General features: G+C 45.1%; 2 long non-coding RNA genes across 5 annotated transcripts in view, besides 2 other annotated features; one reads left to right on the top strand and one right to left on the bottom strand.

The window, feature by feature from the left end:
• Window positions 1–751: 751 nt before the first annotated feature.
• On the bottom strand, window positions 752–9,623 carry LINC02772 (long intergenic non-protein coding RNA 2772). 4 transcript variants are annotated; one of them, NR_183766.1, is made up of 3 exons: window positions 8,174–9,623; window positions 3,865–3,999; window positions 752–2,140 (listed from the first exon to the last, which is right to left on the bottom strand). It is a non-coding gene; the product is annotated as a long intergenic non-protein coding RNA 2772 (long non-coding RNA). The 4 variants fall into 4 exon arrangements; NR_183768.1 differs by having other exon boundaries at window positions 9,599–9,623; NR_183767.1 differs by lacking the exon at window positions 3,865–3,999.
• The window catches only part of LOC105371456 (uncharacterized), a 54,091-nt gene continuing 42,912 nt past the window's right edge, over window positions 5,305–16,483 (top strand). Inside the window, exon 1 of the long non-coding RNA XR_922183.3 lies at window positions 5,305–5,516. This is a non-coding gene — a long non-coding RNA (uncharacterized LOC105371456). The remainder of the gene's footprint in view (window positions 5,517–16,483) is intronic.
• Window positions 9,534–10,032: a transcriptional cis regulatory region, noted in NCBI's record as "candidate enhancer chr1.9249 targeted for multiplex CRISPR interference". NCBI's record gives its function as "positively regulates RRNAD1 gene expression with high confidence in K562 cells {active_cell/tissue: K562}" and the evidence as "EXISTENCE:mutant phenotype evidence [ECO:0000015][PMID:30612741]".
• Window positions 10,795–11,337: an enhancer, noted in NCBI's record as "NANOG hESC enhancer chr1:157243171-157243713 (GRCh37/hg19 assembly coordinates)". NCBI's record gives its function as "activates a minimal SCP1, AML or CMV promoter by ChIP-STARR-seq in naive H9 embryonic stem cells {active_cell/tissue: H9 hESC(naive)}" and the evidence as "EXISTENCE:reporter gene assay evidence [ECO:0000049][PMID:30033119]".

Below are 16,483 nucleotides of genomic sequence, written 5' to 3'. Positions count from 1 at the left end.
TCCACCATGTGAGAATACAGTGTTCCCCACTTCCACCATGTGAGGACACAGTGTTCCTGCCTTGGATCATGTGAAGACATTGTGTTTCCCCCTTCCACCATATAAGGACATGATGTTCCTGCCTTTCACCATGTGAGGACACAGTGTTGCTCCCTTCCACCATGTGAGGACATAGTCTTACCCCCTTTCTCCATATGAGGACATGGTGTTCCCCACTTCCAACATATGAGGACATGGTGTTTCTCCTTCCATTATGTAAGGACATAGTGTTCCCTGCTTCCACTATGTAATGACAGAGTATTGCCCCTTCCACCATGTGAGGACACAGTATTGCCCCTTCCACCATGTGAGGACACAGTGTTCCCACTTTCCATCATGTGAGGACACAGTATTTCCCCTTCCACCATGTGAGGACACGGTGTTCCTGCTTTCCATCATGTGAGGACACAGTATTGCCCCTTCCACCATGTGAGGACGCAGTGTTGCCTGCTTCCATAATGTAAGGACATGGTGTTCCCACGTTCCATCATGTGAGGACATACTGTTCTCCCCTTTCACCACTGAGTGCAGTGTTTCCCCCTCTGCTATGTGATGATGTCACAATAAGATGCCATCTATGGAGCTGAAGGTGAGATGAAGAGACCCTGAATCTGCCTTACCAGATCCTGAATCCACTGGTGCCTTGATATTGGACTTCTCAGCCTCCAGACTGTGAGAAATAAATTTCTATTATATACAAATTGCCCAGTGATTTATACATCTAAGGTATTTTATTATAGTAGCTAAATAGACTAAGATACTGTTGGAATCCTGGAGTATTCTGATGGGATTATCCTCCTGTTGTCAATCTCCCAAGGATCCTGGCCTCCTGACTCAGGTGCCTCAACTGAGGCTAAGCTTCTTGGTGCTGGAACAACTAATGATTGAAAGAGAAATTACCCCTTAAGTGGCAGTAGGGCCCTGATTGGGTGGAAGACACGGAATAAAGGACATTGCACTCAAATGCAGACAAGACATTCAGAGAAGAGATATTTTCTTCCTTGGTCTTTGTCCAAGTTCCCTCCTGCCCATGTCAGGGATAACAGCATCACATCCTCAAATCACCTTCCACTGATGATATTATTATTCATAAGGTCATTCAGTAGGCTTTTCATAAGTCTCTCATTTGCAGTTTCTACAACTCTATGAGGCATAAACCCCCCATTGTACACATGAAAAAGCTAAAATCCAGAGAAGTTAACTACTTCATACAAGTTCTCCTGGGTGTAAGTAATGGAGATATGATTTGCATCCACAGAGAAGCATAATTTTGCTCATTTTTGACTCCTTCTTACTCATTTCAGATGCCCAGTCAGTCAGTTTGTTCCATTGGGTTATCTGTCAGAAAGCTTCTTATATTCCATCTCCCTCTCAATACTTCATTTCCGTTTTTCCACCTTCACCTTCACCATTTTTACATTCCACCAGCAATGTGGGAGAATATCTCCATATCCTTCCCAACCCTTGCTATTGTCCATTTCTTTGATTATTGCCTTCTGAGTGAGTGTGAACTGGTAACTCATTGTGCTTTTGATTTTCATTTCCTAAATGACTAATATTGGTGAACATCTTTCCACGTTGCACAATAACCATTTGTATACCTTTTTTTTTTGGAAAAGTCCCTTCTGTCTTGAATTCTCTTCTGTCATGCATTGCCCCCACCACTCCATTAAAACTGCTCAGGTCCAGGTCAGCAGAAAACTCCATGTTGCTAAATCCAATGGTCAATGCTCAGTCCTCATCTTCCTTGATGTGTCAGCAGCAATTAACATACCCTCCCTTGAAACTGTCTTCACCTCCAATTACAACTCACCATTCTTTTCCTTCTACTTAGAGGCTGCTCCTTAGTTTCCTTGCTAGTTTCTTTCTTATCTCTCTAACCTCTATATTCTGGAATATCCTCAGGTTTACACCCAGATGATCTGTCTTCATTATCCACTCTCATTTTCTTTCTGAGATTGTGGCTCTGCACTAATTCCTGGACCATATGCCAATATAACCTTATGGCAAAAGGGACTTTGCAGACGTCATCAAGTTTAAGGGTCTTGAGATGTGAATTATCCTGGGTTATCTGGGTCAGTTCAGTATAATCACATGAGTCCTAAAAATTGGAAGAAGAAGAAAAGTAAGTCAGAGACATAGAAGGTGAAAACTTGTTCCACTGTTTTTGGCCTTGAAGATGGAGTAAGGGGACCTCAAGTCAAGGAAATGCAGTAGGCTCTAGAAGCTAAGAAAGGATCTCAGTTTATATCCAGCAAGAAAATGAGGATCTCAATCTTAAAACCACAAAGAACTACATTCTAACAATAGCCAGAATGAGCAAAAAGGAACATACCCCAGCGACACAAGGACTTTTTTCCAATTAGACTTGTACCAGAATTCTGACCTCCAGTATTGTAAAATAATAAATCGCTTTTGTTCTAAGTGCCTACATTAGTGCTGATTTATTGTGACAGAAACAGAAAACTAACAAAGCTGCCATACTGTCTCATGGTTTTAAAAACATTGGCTACTCTGTCATTTTCAGCCAGATCCCTCCTATGGATGCCACATTGTGAATATCTAACTTCTTACTTGACAGCTCCACTAGGACGTATAACAGGAATCTCCAGCTTGGCTTTCAAACTCCCCAAACACGCTTCCCATACAGTCTTCCCATCCCAATAAATGTCATCTCTATTACTCCATTTGTTGCAGCCACAAAATCTTGGTGCCATCCTTGACTTTGTTCTTTTTCTCACACCCCACTCTCCATTAGCAAAAAATATTTTTTATTCAATGTATATATTTATAGTATAACTATTTACCATATGACCTTCGTCTCTTACCTGGACTATTGCATAGCCCCACAGTATCCCTGTGCCTATTTTTGGCCTCCTAATGTTTACTCTCAAAATAGTGGCAAGTGATATTTTCAAAACATCAGTTCTATCATATTCCTTAGCTCAGAACTTTCCCGTGGCTCCCACTTCACCTGCAAGGCCCTGCACCATCTGACCTCATAGCCCATGCTCCCCTCTTTCCTCAATCTACTCTAAGACACTGGGGTTTTTTCTATTTCCTTCAACAGACCAGGCATGCTCCTGCTTCAAGGCCTTTGATTCTGTCTAGAATTCTCTTCTTCCAGGCGTTTACCTGTCTCATTTCCTGTCCTCTTTCAGGTCTTTTAGGAATGCTCCCTTCTCAGTGGGATCTACCCTGGTCCTTTCCTCCCCATTCCATTTAAAGCTACATCCTCCTCCTGTTTTCCTGCTCCTGCTCCCTTCTCCCTGCTCTACCTTCCTCAACACCACTTATCACAGGGAAGTGAGGCAGGGTGCATTTTATCCTGGCTGTCCTTTAATGACAAATATGCAAAGAAGACCTCAACAAGTGAGCCACAAATTCTAGCCTGCCAAAATCATTATTATGGCCAGGAAACTGCAACACTGATAAGTTAAGAATCTTGTCCAAATTCTCATAGTTACTAAGTGGCAGAGCTGGGATTCAAGCATTGGAGTTGGGTCCTATAGTTCTTGCTCTTGACCACCATATCACACTAGCTAAATCAGTTATAGTTTATCCACATAGTAGTGTACTATTTAGGTGATTAAAAGGATAAATTACAGTCATAAACCACTTAGCAACGTTTCAGTCAATGATGGACCACATATACAATGGTAGTCCCATAAGACTATAATGAAGCTGGCTGCACATGGTGGCTCATGCCTGTAATCCCAGACTTTGGGAGGCCGAGGTTGGAGTATTGCTTCAGCCCAAGAGTTCAAGACCAGCCTGGGCAACATAGGGAGACCACATCTCTACAGAAATAATCCAAAAGATTACCTGGGCATGGTAGTAGGTGCCTGTGGTCCCAGCTACTTGGGAGGCTGAGGGGAGAGTCTCCAGAGCCTGAGAGTTTGAGGCTGTAGTGATCCGTGATCATGCCACTGCACTGCAGCCTGGTTCTCAGAGTAAGACCTTGTCTCAAAAAAAAAAAAAATGACAATGGAGCTGAAATAATTCCTATTGTCTAGTGATGCTGTAGTCATTGCAATGTCTTAGCAAAATGCATTAGCCATGTGTTTGTGGTGATGCTGTTGTACGCAAACCTATTGCACTGCCAGTCATATAAAAGTATAGCACACACAATTATGTACAGTGCAGAATGCTCGATAATTATGCTAAAGTGCTATGTGACTGGTTTATGTATTTACTATATTTTTATTGTTATGTTAGAATATACTCCTACTTATTAAAAAATTAACCGTAAAGCAGCCTCAGGCAGATCCTCCAGAGGTATTCCAGAAGAAGGCATTATGATCCTAGAAGATGACAGCTCCATGCATGCTATTGCCTCTGAAGAACTCTCAGTGGGTCAAGATGTGCGGGTGGATGACAGTGTCATTGATGATCCTGACTCTGTGTTATGAGTATGTTTGTGTCTTAGTTTTTAACAAAAATATTAAAAAGTAAAAAATGTTAACATAGAAAATAGCATATAGAATAAGGATGTACAAAGGAGAAAATACTGTATATAGCTGTATGTTTTTGCATTTTAAGCTGTGTTGTTATAAAAGAATTATAAAGTTAAAGAATTAAAAGTAAAAAAGTTGCAGGAGGCTACAGTTAATTTATTACTGAGAAAAAAATACTTTAAAGTAAATTGAGTGTAGCCTAAGTATGCACTGCTTATAAAGCCTACAATAGTGTACAGTAATGTCCAGGTCTTCACATTCACTCACGACTCACCCACTTCTCAGACCAACTTCCAGTCCTACAAGCTCCATTCATGGTAAGTGCCTTATACAGGTGTTAGGGACAAACTGCCCCCAAAAAGCTTCTTGAAATGTCTCCGTGCTGCCCTCCGCTCCCCACTCTGCAACTCCTTTCCATGCCGCCCCACTCTTTCCCTCAAGCCTGTTTACATTTCTAAGCCCTTATCTGGGTGCCAGCAAACTTTGCGGTGAAGCCAGCAAACTTCACTTATCAGACCCCGCTGCTGTGAGCAAACCCCAATTACAAACTATCCGGACCACACAGGGGGAGGTCGTGGGAAGCATAAACAAACTTTACCCTCCTGTAAGTTCCTGCTATCATAAATGTCACCAGGTGATATTTGGCAAAATTAACCAGCAAACACCCCCAGGATGCGGCCGTACCAAAAAACTCCCTCAAACTCCCTCCCCAGTATAAACCCCTCATTCTGTAAGCTTGGCGCTACCTCCTCTGAGTGTGGTGGAGTAGCCCGGCTGGTTCAACAAAGTTACTCGCCTGACTTTGGGTCTATTCTTCCTTCCCTCGGCTGCCCTTACATTCTGGTGCCGAAAGCCCGGAAGGGGATAGACTCTGGCCGGGACTCACTCTCTCCTCTCTCTCCCTCCCCATCACCGCTCTCCTGGCCATTCTCACCTTTCCCCAACCTGCCGAAGACCCAGAGAATCTCCTAGGTTCTCCCTTTGCTGGCGACCTCATCCACCATCAAAACCTCCGCCAGGGTGAGTAAAAAGAGACTGTTGCCCTTCCCCGGAACCCGTCCGTCTCTCCGTTTCCGAAAACCCCAGCGCTGGGCCAAGGGCTTCCTCTGGCCTCCGGGCCTCTCTCTGGTCCCTCCATTTCAGGGACGCCCGACACGGCGGTTACCTCCTCTATTCCGGGCAAGCTCTCCCGTCGTCCTTGTCACCACCAGAAGTCTCTTCCTCTACCACCCACCCCCGCCCACCACGCTCCATTCGCTATGAGAGCCTCTCAGTCTACTCCTAAAACTACCCAGCTTAGATGTCTCCTTCGCAATCTCAAGGCTGTCGGCCTCCGTTCAGAAATCTGCCCTAAGAGGCTTATTTTTTACTTCAATACCGCATGGCCTCAATGCAAATTAGACCGTGGCTCTCAATGGCCCAAAAATGGCACTTTCAACTCCCACGTGCTCGGAGACTTAAGACAACTTTTGCTACCGCAATGGGAAGTGGTCTGAGATTCCTTATGTTCAGGCTTTCTTTACTCTCCTTAGTCATCCTTCCCTCTGCCAATCCTGCTCTACTTTTCGAATTCTCCTCATGCGCTCCAAACCCCACTCGCCCCCTGCTCCCCTCAACCCAGTAGCCCCAGCCGACAACTCCTCTTCCTTTGACTCGCCGATTTTCCTCCTTCCTAACAGCATCATAATCCTCCACTGGAACAGCATGATCCCCCGCTGTATGTCTCTGCTCAGGCTCTCTCTCTCCCCTTCTCTCCAACCATCCTGCCTCCGACTCTGAGTCCTCTCCATCTCTGCCTCTCACCTGCTCTTGGGCCCAACATGCTCAGCAACCAGCTCCCTTGCTTCCCCTTCAGGAAGCAGCAGGAGCTAAAGGTATTGTTAAAATTCCCTTCTCCCTCACTAATCTCTCTCTAATTAACAAAAGACTCCGTTCATTTCCAAAAAACCCTACCTCTTATATTAAAAAGTTTCAGTACCTTACCCAGTCTTATAAACTAACTTAGCATAACCTCTATGTTATCCTCTCTTCCACCCTCACCCCAAAAAAGCAGAACCGTTTCTAAACCCTAGCTCAGGCACATACTGATACAATTCGTCACCAAGCTCCTACCCAGCCTACTAGCACAGAGGCAGTCCCCAACCAGGAACCACAATGGAATGATCAAACAAGGCCTCTGGGCACTGCCATCAAGACCACACAATTATATATCTGCTTGCAGGGCTCAAAAAGAGTGCCCATAAAGCAGTAAACTACAAAAAAACTTTCAGAAATCACCCAAAGTCCTGACAAAAACCCAGCCCTTTTTCTCTCTCGTTTAACTAAAGCCGTAAGCCTATATATCAGGCTAGACCCAGCCAGCCCAAAAGGAACCACTATCTTAAACCTTCAGTTCATCTCCCAATCCACTCCCCAATATTCGGCACAAGCTTCAGAAGGTTGACAATGGCCCTCAAACCCCACAACAAAACCTTCTTAATTTAGCCTTCAATGCCTTTTAACAATCATAATGAGGAAAGTAAAGGACAAAAACAGGCAGAGTTTCAAATGCTTGCCTCTGCCGTCAGAGGCCCTGCAGGCCACTGGGCCGCGGCTCTACATGGAAGCCTCCTAATAATCCACCTCCACCTGACTCCCGTTTCAAATGCGGTCATAAAGGCCACTGGCCCAGACAATGCCCATACCCAGGTAAGCCCACCAGGCCGTGCCCCCTCTGCGGAGGACACCACTGGAAGTTGGACTGTGAGCTGCCCCAACAAGGACCACCCCCATCCCTTCCTGAGCCGGCCAAAACCTCCTACTAGGAACTCATTGGCCTTGCCGCTGAAGTCTAACAGTGCCCTGGAATGGACAGTCTGGCAACTACCATCTCTTCATCCGAGCCAAGGGTAACCCTGATGGTGGCAAGTAGGCCAGTATATTTTTTAATGAATACCAGGGCAACCTATTCTGCTTTACCTAATTTTTCAGGACCCACCCAGTCCTCCCAAGTCTCTGTTGTGGGAAATGATGGACAAATCTCCAAACCCCAAGCCACCCCTCCACTTTTCTGCTCCCTACACACCTTTTCCTTCACTCACTCTTTCTCAGTCCAGCCCTCATATCCAATTCCACTCCTAGGCAGAAACATCCTTTCAAAACTCCACACTACTCTCCACTTCCACATCCCCTGTAGTACCCAACACCCAACACAGCCATCCAGACCCCTCTAATATTTCCAACTTTCTTCTACTCCTCCAACCTCCCACCTTAAAACATGCAACCTTTCCTTATTCCCCATCTGTAATTAACCCCATCCAGTTCCTGACACAAAAGCAGTATTCCGTCCCCCAAGCAGCTCTCATAGGCCTAAAGCTTACCATTTCTCACCTCCTCACCAGTCACTTACTCCACCCAACAGACTGCCCTTTTAACACACCAATTGTACCTGTTAAAAAGCCAGATAAAACTTATTGCTTACTCCAGGACCTCAGGTTCATTAACCAAGCTGTACTCCCAGTATGTCCAGTATTTCCTAATCCATACACTTTACTTTCCACAATTCCCTCCAATACCACCCATTTTTCTATTCTAAGCCTAAAAGATGCTTTTTTCACAATTCCTTTACACCCTGATTCCCAAAACCTCCTTGCCTTTACATTAAAAAACCCCAACACCCACCTTTCACGTCAGCTTACCTGGTGGGTACTACCTCAAGGCTTCAGAGACAGCTCCCATCTTTTTAGGCAGGCCCTTGCTCACGACCTCTGTACCTTATCCCTAAAAGCATCCATTCTCCCTCAATGTGTTAATAATCTGCTCCTGTGTAGCCCCTCTCAAAAAAACTGCAACGCCCAGACTATCTCTCTCTTTCAAACTTCTTAGCAGAACAGAGGTATTAGGTCTCCCCTAAAAAAACACAAATATACACCCCCTCAGTCACCTACCTAGGCCTAGCCCTTACCGTGCCAACCTGAAGGCTCACAACCCACCGCATATCCCTCCTCCAGTCCCTCCCACCTCCACAAACTAAACAAGAAATTCTCTCTTTTCTAGGACTAGCAGGATATTTTAGGCTCTAGTTTCCCTCCTTTGCTCTACTTGCCAAACTGTTATACCAAGATACTAAAGGCCCTCTCCATGAGCCTTTAAACTCTGCATAGCCTATTACCCAGCCTTTCTGTCTCCTCCAAAAATCTCTCACCTCAGCCCCATCCTCACTCTCCCAGACCTCACCAAACCTTTCTCCCTCTATACCAACGGATGGCATAAAGTTACACTGGGTGTTCTAACCCAGTCTAAAGGACCCATCCTCCAGGTTGTTGCCTACCTCTCTAAACAGCTTAAAGCCACAGTTCTCAAACGGCCTGCCTGTCTCCAAGCATTGGCAGCAGCTGCTGTCCTCACCTTAAAAGCCTAAAACCATCTCTCCATGCCAACCTAACAGTTTATTCAACCCATAACATCAAAAACATGCTAACTCACCACAGTGTACTAAGTTTCATCTCCCCCTCACAGCTTCTCCAACTGTATGCTCTATTCATAAAAACTCCCCAAATCACCGTGCTAACCAGCTCTCGTCTAAACCCAGCCATGCTCTTACCTGAAATTTCTACCTGTCAAGACCCTGCACACTTCTGTGTAAACACTGTTCAAACCTTTCTTATACCCTTTCCAAACCTAACAGACCAACGCCTTCTAAATACTTCCTTTACTTAGTTTGTGGACAGCAGCTCCTTAACATTCAGCCAAAATACCACCGTCCACAGTCCTCATAATCTACAAAATCTCCTTTCCTCCCAAGCATTAAGCTCCCTTCCTCCTTCCCGGATTCAATTACTCCATGCCCTCTTTATCAAAAATCCTGAATTCAAGTCTTGCCAAAAGTGCTCCTCTCAACCCAGCATCCTTACTCCCCGTATCCTCTTCCCCTCCTACTCATTCTTGCACTGACATCCTGGATCACCTACAGCCACACTTTCCAAACATTTCCTCCGAGCCTCTCACCAACCCCGATGACCAGCTATTTATAAATGGCTCCTCTTCCGGGCCCACTGGCTCCCCAAAAATTGCTGGGTATGTGATTGTTTCCCTTGACTGAGTAACTAAAGCTAAACTCCTACCTCCAGGAACCTCCTCTCAAAAAACAGAACTCATAGCTCTCACCAGAGCCCTAACCCTTTCCAAAGACAGATGAGTCAACATTTACACAGACTCCAAATATGCATATCACATTTTTCATTCCCATGCTGCCATCTGGCAAGAGAGAGGATTCCTCACTGCCAAAAGGCCCCATATCACTAACAGCCCCCTTACTTACCAACTCCTTCAGGCCACACACCTCTCGACTGAAGCGGGAGTTATACACTGTCAAGGACATCAAACAGGGTCAGATAAAATCTCAAGAGGGAACAAAAAGTCTGATGATGCAACAAAAGAAGCCTTCCTGTCTTCCACTCCTGCCTCCCTCCTCCTCATTATCCCTACAATCCAACCTCAATACTCCCCCACTAAAACAGCCTTATTACTACAACAATGAGCCTTCCTCCAGGGGGACTGGATAATTAAGGACCAGAAGCCAGTCCTTCCCCAGGGCCAAAAGAACAAAATCCTAACATCTCCACCAATCTTTCCGTATTGGTGCACGTCCCCTGTATCTCCTCCTCCACCCATATTTCTTATCCCCTCACCTATTCACCTCATTAAAAAACATAACTTCAAACTGTCATATATGCTCTGTCACCTCCTCTCAAGGAGCCCTCCACTCCCCATCTATTCCTACACACCAGCTAAGAGGAACACTCCCAAGAAAGAACTGGCAAATAGATTTCACCCACATACCTATGAATACATAAAAATAACAAAATAATACATCTTTTTAGCATACACAACCAGTTGTGTCTACCAAGCCAAGGCATACTTTTCCTATGCGGTACCTCAACTGATATTTACCTCCCCTCACAGCCAAAAATGGAGAACTCTGCCCTTTTCTAAATAAACAATGTTACTTTTATCTTAACCCATCTAGCTTAATACAAAATGCTGTAAAAAAAAAAAAAAAAAAAAAAAGGACCAAGCGCGCGCGCGCGCGCACACACACACACACACACACACACACACACACAAAGTCTCCCGATGGCCAGTGTGGCCCTCCTGGTCCTTTAGTGCCTGGTTTCCATGGCTAACGCCCCTCCTAGACCTGGCCATAACCATTCTTCTTTTTCTAGCATTCAGCCCTTGTCTCTTACGCCTTCTACCCCAGTTTTACAGGACCGTATCAGAGCCCTCACCCATGGGACAGTACAAAATATGATGCTGTTCCAGGAATACCAATGGCTCCAAGAACAGCAGTCCCTACCATCCAGCCTTCCCCCATAACCGTCGCCCCTTCCCAGCAGGAAGTAGCCAGACAATGGCATCCCTCTTCTGTTACCTATTAAAAGGCTGGAATGTTAGGGACAAACTGCCCCAAAAAAGCTTCTTGAAACCTCTCCGTGCTGCCCGCCCATCCCCACTCTGCAACTCCTTTCCGTGCCACCCCCCTCTTTCCCCCAAGCTCTTTACATTTCTAAGCCCTTATCTAGGCGCCCCAGTGAAGCCAGCAAACTTCACTTTACAGGCCCTGCTACTATAAGCAAACCTCAATTACAAACCATACGGACCACACAGCGGGAGGTCATGGGAAGCATAAACAAACTTTACCCTCCTGTAAGTTTCTGCTATCATAAATGTCACCAGGTGATATGTGGCAAAATTAACCAGCCATACCAAAAAATGCATGCGGCCATACCAAAAAGCTCCCTCAAACCCCCTCCCCAATATAAACCCCTCATTCTGTAAGCTTGGCACTGCCTCCTCTGAGTGTGGTGGAACAGCCTGGCAGGTTCAGTAAACTTACTCGCCTGACTTTGGCTCTATTCTTCCTTTCTCTCAGCTGCCCTTACAACAGGTGTACCATATTTCATCTTTTATACCATGTTTTTACTGTACCTTTTCCACATTTAGATATTTTTAGATACAAAATTCTTGCCATTGTGTTACAATTGCATATAGCATTCAGTACAGTAACATGCTGTACAAGTTTGTAGCCCAGGTGCAATAGGCTATACCATACAGCCTGGGTGGATAGTAGGCTGTACCATCTAGGTTTGGGTAAAAACACTCTATGATGCTCGCACGACGATGAAATTACTTAATGGCACATTTCTCAGAACATATTCATGTCACTGAGTGACACATGACTATATTTTTATATATTTAAATGGGAAGACATCAGTGAAATGTTAATTGTGGTATGGAACAGCATGTGTGCATGTCTATGTGGGCATGGTCAGGGTTGAGCACTGAAATCTGATCTATATGGAGGCTTCATAAAATTTAAGCTGGAACATACGTGGTAAGCAGAGGCTGAGAGTTTGCCTTTTAAGATAATAATCCTCAGAACACAGCCCAGTAAATGTTGGTTGAGTGAAGGAATGAATCATGAGACCCCTCAGGTTATCATTACTTTGATGTGTTAACCAAGGTTCAGAGTCTGGCCCTCAGACTCTAAAACTGAGCCCAGAAACTTTATCTCATCCATTGCCCAGCTCTGGCTTTCCTTGGGGATGCAAAATTTTGCTAACAAATGCCATGAGACATGGATAGACAAAACTAGAATGCTTGTTTATTAATTTACAGTAAGAAGTATGCTTTTCAACTGGACTGGATATTCCTGTTAGCCTGACCAGTGCATCCTGTTCCCAAAGAAAGGCCACACAGGAAGCTGCCTTAGTCCATTTGTGCTGCTATAACAAAATATCTGAGACTGAGTAATTTATAAATAGCAGACATTCATTTGTCATAGTTCTGGAGGCTGGGAAGTCCAAGATCACAAGGCACTGGCAAGATTGGGGTCTGGTGAGGCTGCTCTCTGCTTCCCAGATGGGCCCTCATGGCTTCATCCTACAGAGAGAGGGATGCTGTGTCTTCATGTGGGAGTAGGGATAGAAGGGCAAGAGAGTACTCCCTTCAACCTGGAGCCCTTTTATAAAGGTACTAATCCCATGCATCAAGGCAGAGTCCACATAACTTAATCACCTCCCAAAGACCACACCTCTCAATACTGTTGCCCTGGGGATGAAGTTTCAACACAAATTTTGGAGGAGGCACCATCAGAAGCCAAGACATCAGTGGGCTGCTTGGAGATCCAGGAGTCAGGGAAGGTAAGTAGATGCTGCTGGTATGGAATTCACTGGCCTTCTGGAGTCTGAGCCCTCTATTTTCATGGTAGGATTTACCTGATCAGGGCACTGTTTCTCCTGCCAGCCTAACAGACCACTTCATTTATCTTTGTCACTCACCTTTCTATGTTCTATTACTTATTAACCCTCCTTCGGATGACATATTTTTTCTTTGATCGTGTTCATCGTGAGATTAAGTCAGCTCACCCAGCTGAGTGAGCTAGAATCTCTGTACCTCTCCTATGTTTCAGGTATGTGGCATTTTATTTGATTCACAAACAGCACCATCAATAACAACACCAGAAACCCCAATCCACTATTATCTTCCTCATTTCCAAGTTCTAGCAGAGGGTGTGGAGGAAGTGGACATCTCTTAATATACCACATAGCACCAGCTGAACCACCAAACTGCACTGGTAAACAGACTCAATAAGAAAAACTGGACTGGTGAATGGAATTCTGTAGCTCTCAAGATTGAAATCTTCACCTAATTGATCATTGAGCCTTTCAGCAAGATCCTCTCATATTTAGGAAAGCAAAACAACACCAACAAGTCTCTAAGAGGATGTAATACATAGTTAATGTCTATTCAAGTTTAAAACAATCATGAAATGATAATTTCTGGAAAATCCTACATTACAAAATTGATTTGCATGTGTTTACAAACCTCAAAAAACATCCAGACAACCTTGTGAAACTGATATATTTTCCCTTCAATGGCTTAAGGGCCAAGTTTTATTGCCAGTGGATTCCTTCAAACTATTAATGAATAGAGAGTTTTTGTGGTAACAAATATGTTTTAAAACTTGGCAGAAGATAGAAAGCTTTCATTTGTGATTTAGGAAACTTGATAGAGCATAAAGAATAGGAAGTAAAGTCTTATTCAGTGGTCAAGGCTGCGTGAGCAGCTCTCACTTCCCTTCTTCCGCTGGAAACTTTTTCCAGGTGAGCTCAACTCCCAGCTTCCCTAGGACCCCAAGGAGCAGAAGGTCTTTGGCCTGCATCATTCACAGTAATGGGAATAAGAGTGGAGTTCCAGTCCCTGTTGGGTCAGACAGGGAGCAGAGAGAGAGAGGCTGCTGGGTGCCTGGGTCCTGGGGCTGCCACACTCCCTGCAGGGGGTTGGCTCAGTGCCAGGCACTCTGCTCACCTGAGGGTTTGGGACTGGGAATAAGCCTATGTGATTTTGCCAAAGAGAGTTTTCTAGACTCTACGAATGTGTTGTCAGAAGGAAATTATCCATGGAGTCTTGCTGACTCCCGCACTTATAACACCTGCACCAAGTGACCATCTCTGTGTCCCAAAACTTTCATTTCATGTTTGTAGGACTCTAGAAAGCTGTCCTCTAATGTCATAAGTAAAGTGCTCAGCCCTCTACCTTTCTCTGCTGATACTGGCTTCCCTTTTGAGGCTACTCATTACAAATAGGATTCTACGTCCACTCAAAGTCACTTCAAGAGGGATTCACCAGTCCTGGCAATCTTTTCCTGTCTTAAATGCCCCGATTTCTCCCTCCCAATCCCCCTCCATAGTTTCCTAGGGCACATGCCAACTTTTACTATCTCTGTGTCTTCCCAGATGGCATAGTCCCAGGAGCTAGGAAGGTTGGATATTACATTTCCTGAACATGGTGAGCAACACCTCACCCTACCCTCAATCTTCTGGGAAAGGGGTGCCTCCAGAACTAGAACCTGCCCTTGCTGGACAATTTTTTGAGTTAAACACATTTCCCCCAAGGTCTGAGGTGGCAGTTTTCTGTTCCTCGTGGTTGCTGATCACACAGGTCAGGCTGGCATTGCACTGGCTCAGTGGCAGGCTCACGGCCAGGGTCCCGGGGTTGTAGGCTGGTCCTGGCATCCCTGTCTGGTCCAGCTCTCTGGGGAGGCCTTTGCTCTCTCTCAGGTCACATTTAGGTCCTCTGTGGCTCTTGGAGCCCTGCCCTCTTGGGTAAATTTTCAGCAGTCTGGTGTGATGGACGGTGACCTGGTTGGGACCTGGAAAAGGGGCACAGGCTCTGGGGTAGAATGGGACAGAAGAATTAATGCACTTGTAGAGCACACTCCTCATCCATTATCTCAATACTTTCAGAGCACCTACTGGGCAGGCAGGGCACTTTGCAGCCAGAGAAACAGGCTTGGGGAAGTGAAACAGTTTACCCAAAGTGATACACTGAGAAAGTGCCACAGAGCCCCAGATTTAGAGAAGAGACGGCAACCAAAGTCTCTCAGCTTCCTCCACCACCCATACTCCCTTCTCTTGTTCTGCACACACGTCATCTGATCCTTCACAACTCTCATAGCACTTGGAAGGTAAATTCAAACCTCTAGGGAAAATACCTGCCACATACAGAATTTACAAAGGAGTTTCTGAAAACTGGTTTTAAGGCCCATAAGCTGTCACCTATACCAATGACATTAAGAGATTAGAATTTGGAGATACGGTGGAAGGTGGAGAGAGTTATGCTGCAAGTCCCCTTCCCACCTCATGGGTACCCACCCCTCCCTTCGATCCTAGTGAGCAAAGTTCAATGATACCATTCAGACAGCTTGATATGTCCCATGCGGATTGGGGATGCACTGAACGGTGTCTGATCCATACCTGAGATAGCCAAGGGGGGAGATGCTGCCGAAATAGCCTATGGTACCAGAGTATTGGCTGCCACTAGGGAAGAAATTGCAGTGCCATTGATGAACATATTTTTCATCGTCCAGATGCAAGTACTTAACAGAACTGTGTTGAGAGCCAAAAGGAGGAGTAATAGAACCCCAGTAGAGAGATTGTGTAGAAACGGACTAGCTATGGGCTGGGCACAGTGGCTCACGCCTGTAATCCCAGCACTTTGGGAGGCCGAGGTCAGGAGATGGAGACCATCCTGACTAACACGGTAAAACCCTGTCTCTACTAAAAATACAAAAAATTAGCCGGGTGTGGTGGTGGGCACCTGTAGTCCCAGCTACTGGGGAGGCTGAGGCAGGAAAATGGCATGAACCCTGGAGGCAGAACTTGAAGTGAGCCGTGATCACACCACTGCACTCCAGCCTGAGTGATAGAGCAAGACTCCATCTCAAAAAAATAAAAATAAAAAAATAAAAAAGAAAAAAAGAAAGAAATGGACCAGCTATGTACCAGGGGTAAAAAAGACAGAAATGCTCACCCCTTGAGTATATTACCTGTAAAGGAATAGATGGCAGATTCCCAGCACGAGGGAGGAGAAGTATCTAAAGAACCTATGAAAATGCCCCATGGGAGAAAGAATCACGCTAATCACTGTCGAATCCAGAGGACGAACTGCTTGATGACGACAACGGGATGAGCCAGGGAAGGCTCTTCCCGACTCCTCAACTCCATCCTCTTTTCTGCTCCTCTCTCCTTTCCCATCCCCATGGACTGGGGAAGGGAGTTCCCCCACATTGATATTATCTATAATTAATAAAATACTTCTCTTGCTCATTTTGAAAGTCAAAGATGAACACTGAGTTCTGCATTCTCTGTGGCCTCCACCTGAAGCAGTAGCTGCCTGGCCCAAAAGTGTTGGAGGTTTTTGGGCAACAGAAAATATAAGAATAATAAGGACATTTTGGAAACTCCCAGACAAGAAGGCACTTCAGCTGACTCAGGAAGCCCCTCCTAATGATCTGATGATAGAATATGCTCAATAAAAATATAATAAAAATGTTTTGTATAATTTAGTTTCAACAAAACTCCAGTTATGGAGAGTTCCAAGGGAGAATTTTGTGCTAAAGAGATGAATGGAATTTGAAGTTCTGGTGGCTCCAGGGGGTATCA

This window comes from Homo sapiens, chromosome 1 (genome assembly GCF_000001405.40).
Source record: "Homo sapiens chromosome 1, GRCh38.p14 Primary Assembly".
NCBI lineage: Eukaryota > Metazoa > Chordata > Mammalia > Primates > Hominidae > Homo > Homo sapiens.
Note: the sequence above shows the minus strand (reverse complement) of the source record. Positions and strands in the feature narration are given on the sequence as shown.